This window comes from Homo sapiens, chromosome 14, assembly GCF_000001405.40.
Source record: "Homo sapiens chromosome 14, GRCh38.p14 Primary Assembly".
NCBI lineage: Eukaryota > Metazoa > Chordata > Mammalia > Primates > Hominidae > Homo > Homo sapiens.
Window position 1 is genome coordinate 83,626,464 of NC_000014.9, and position 1,693 is coordinate 83,628,156.

Sequence of the window (1,693 nt, forward strand, 5' to 3'; positions counted from 1 at the left end):
AACCAGATTCAGTGCAAAGAGCCAAAGAGGTAGACAGCAAGAGTAAGACACGAACTGTCCTCAACCAGACTGAAGTCTGGATACACATCCCCTCAATACCTAAAAAATACAGGAAGATGATCTCATTTTACAAGTTACTATGGGCACCTTGGAGGAGTAAAACTACATTTTCTCTGTAAGAAGTAATTTCTTAATAATCTTAAGGGACTTCTACTCTACTTCATGTGTTGCGCGTGCATGCACACACACACACACACTTCACACACATACCCAATATGTTTATAATATGTTTACAGTGTGTGACACAGGATGAAAGAAGACAATGTGAATCAAAAACTAACACAACTACAAGAAATAAAATCAACCTTTTTGGCTATAGATGTTGGTGTTATCAGACACAAAGTTTAACCATGATCCAAATTTCAATGTTAATTTCAGTACAACTAAAGCAAGGCATATATTTGTAAAATAATAGGATAAAAATGCTAAGGGTAAAAACTACAATTACTGAAAGTTAACGATGATACAAAAGTACTTAGCAAATTAAGCATTAATTCCACTTTAACTGAAATCTTAAAAAGAAAGAAGACTAGACAGATGTGGCATTTGCTCCCCATTGTGAATGTACTAAAGGTTACTGAATTTATCGCTTTAAATGGTTAATTTTAGGTTAGCGAATTTTATTTCAATGAAAAAAATGATTTGGGAGAGACAGCAAAACAGCATTTCCAGGAGAGAAGCTGTGGTCTTCTTACAACCTACTTTCTAAAGCAATACCCCATCATTCACATCACTTCTTTCATATCCTGTTCTCCAGATGTAAGTCTCTAGAGCCGGAGTCTCGCTCTGTCGCCCAGGCTGGAGTGCAGTGGCGCGATCTCGGCTCACTGCAAGCTCCACCTCCCGGGTTCACGCCATTCTCCTGCCTCAGCCTCCCGAGTAGCTGGGACTACAGGCGCCCGCCACCGCGCCCGGCTAATTTTTTGTATTTTTAGTACAGACGGGGTTTCATCATGTTAGCCAGAATGGTCTCGATCTTCTGACCTCGTGATCCGCCCGCCTCGGCCTCCCAACGTGCTGGGATTACAGGCGTGAGTCACTGCGCCCGGCTGTCCAGCCCACTTTCAATAAAAGTGAGTGTGGGTAAGCTCCAGCTCTTTAAGGGAAAAGTAATAAAGAATCTGGAGAAATTTATTTCAAAAGTGCCACCATCAATGAGTATATCTTTCAACACTGAAGGTAAATTTTTCAATGAGAAATAAAATGATCCCTGAGAGAAATATGAAGATCAAAAAAGGAATGAATATCAGTAGAAAGAGTGACTGTGTGAATATAAGTCAATCCAATTGAATATTGATTGTATAGAACAAAATGTGGTTTTGGTCTGTGTGTGTGTGTGTATGTGTATGTGTATGTGTGTACACATGAAGGGCAGAGACCAAGAGAAAGAATGAGAGAGACAGACAGAGGGAAAGGCAGATAGATTTACAGTATGTGAAGACAATAAAAATAGGTGAGGCTGAATTAAGCTAATACTCTAACTTACTTGGAATGAGTATTACTAACCTACACTTTACTAATGAATATTGCATGTCTATAACTAGGGTCATCAATAATAAGACAATGATACATTTTTTTAAATTAAGTTCTGGGGTACATGTGCAGAACATGCAGGTTTGTTACATAGATATAC

At 38.9% G+C, this 1,693-nt stretch overlaps 1 annotated feature.

Annotated features, from left to right (window-relative positions):
* Window positions 928-1,427: an enhancer, noted in NCBI's record as "H3K4me1 hESC enhancer chr14:84093735-84094234 (GRCh37/hg19 assembly coordinates)". NCBI's record gives its function as "activates a minimal SCP1, AML or CMV promoter by ChIP-STARR-seq in primed H9 embryonic stem cells {active_cell/tissue: H9 hESC(primed)}" and the evidence as "EXISTENCE:reporter gene assay evidence [ECO:0000049][PMID:30033119]".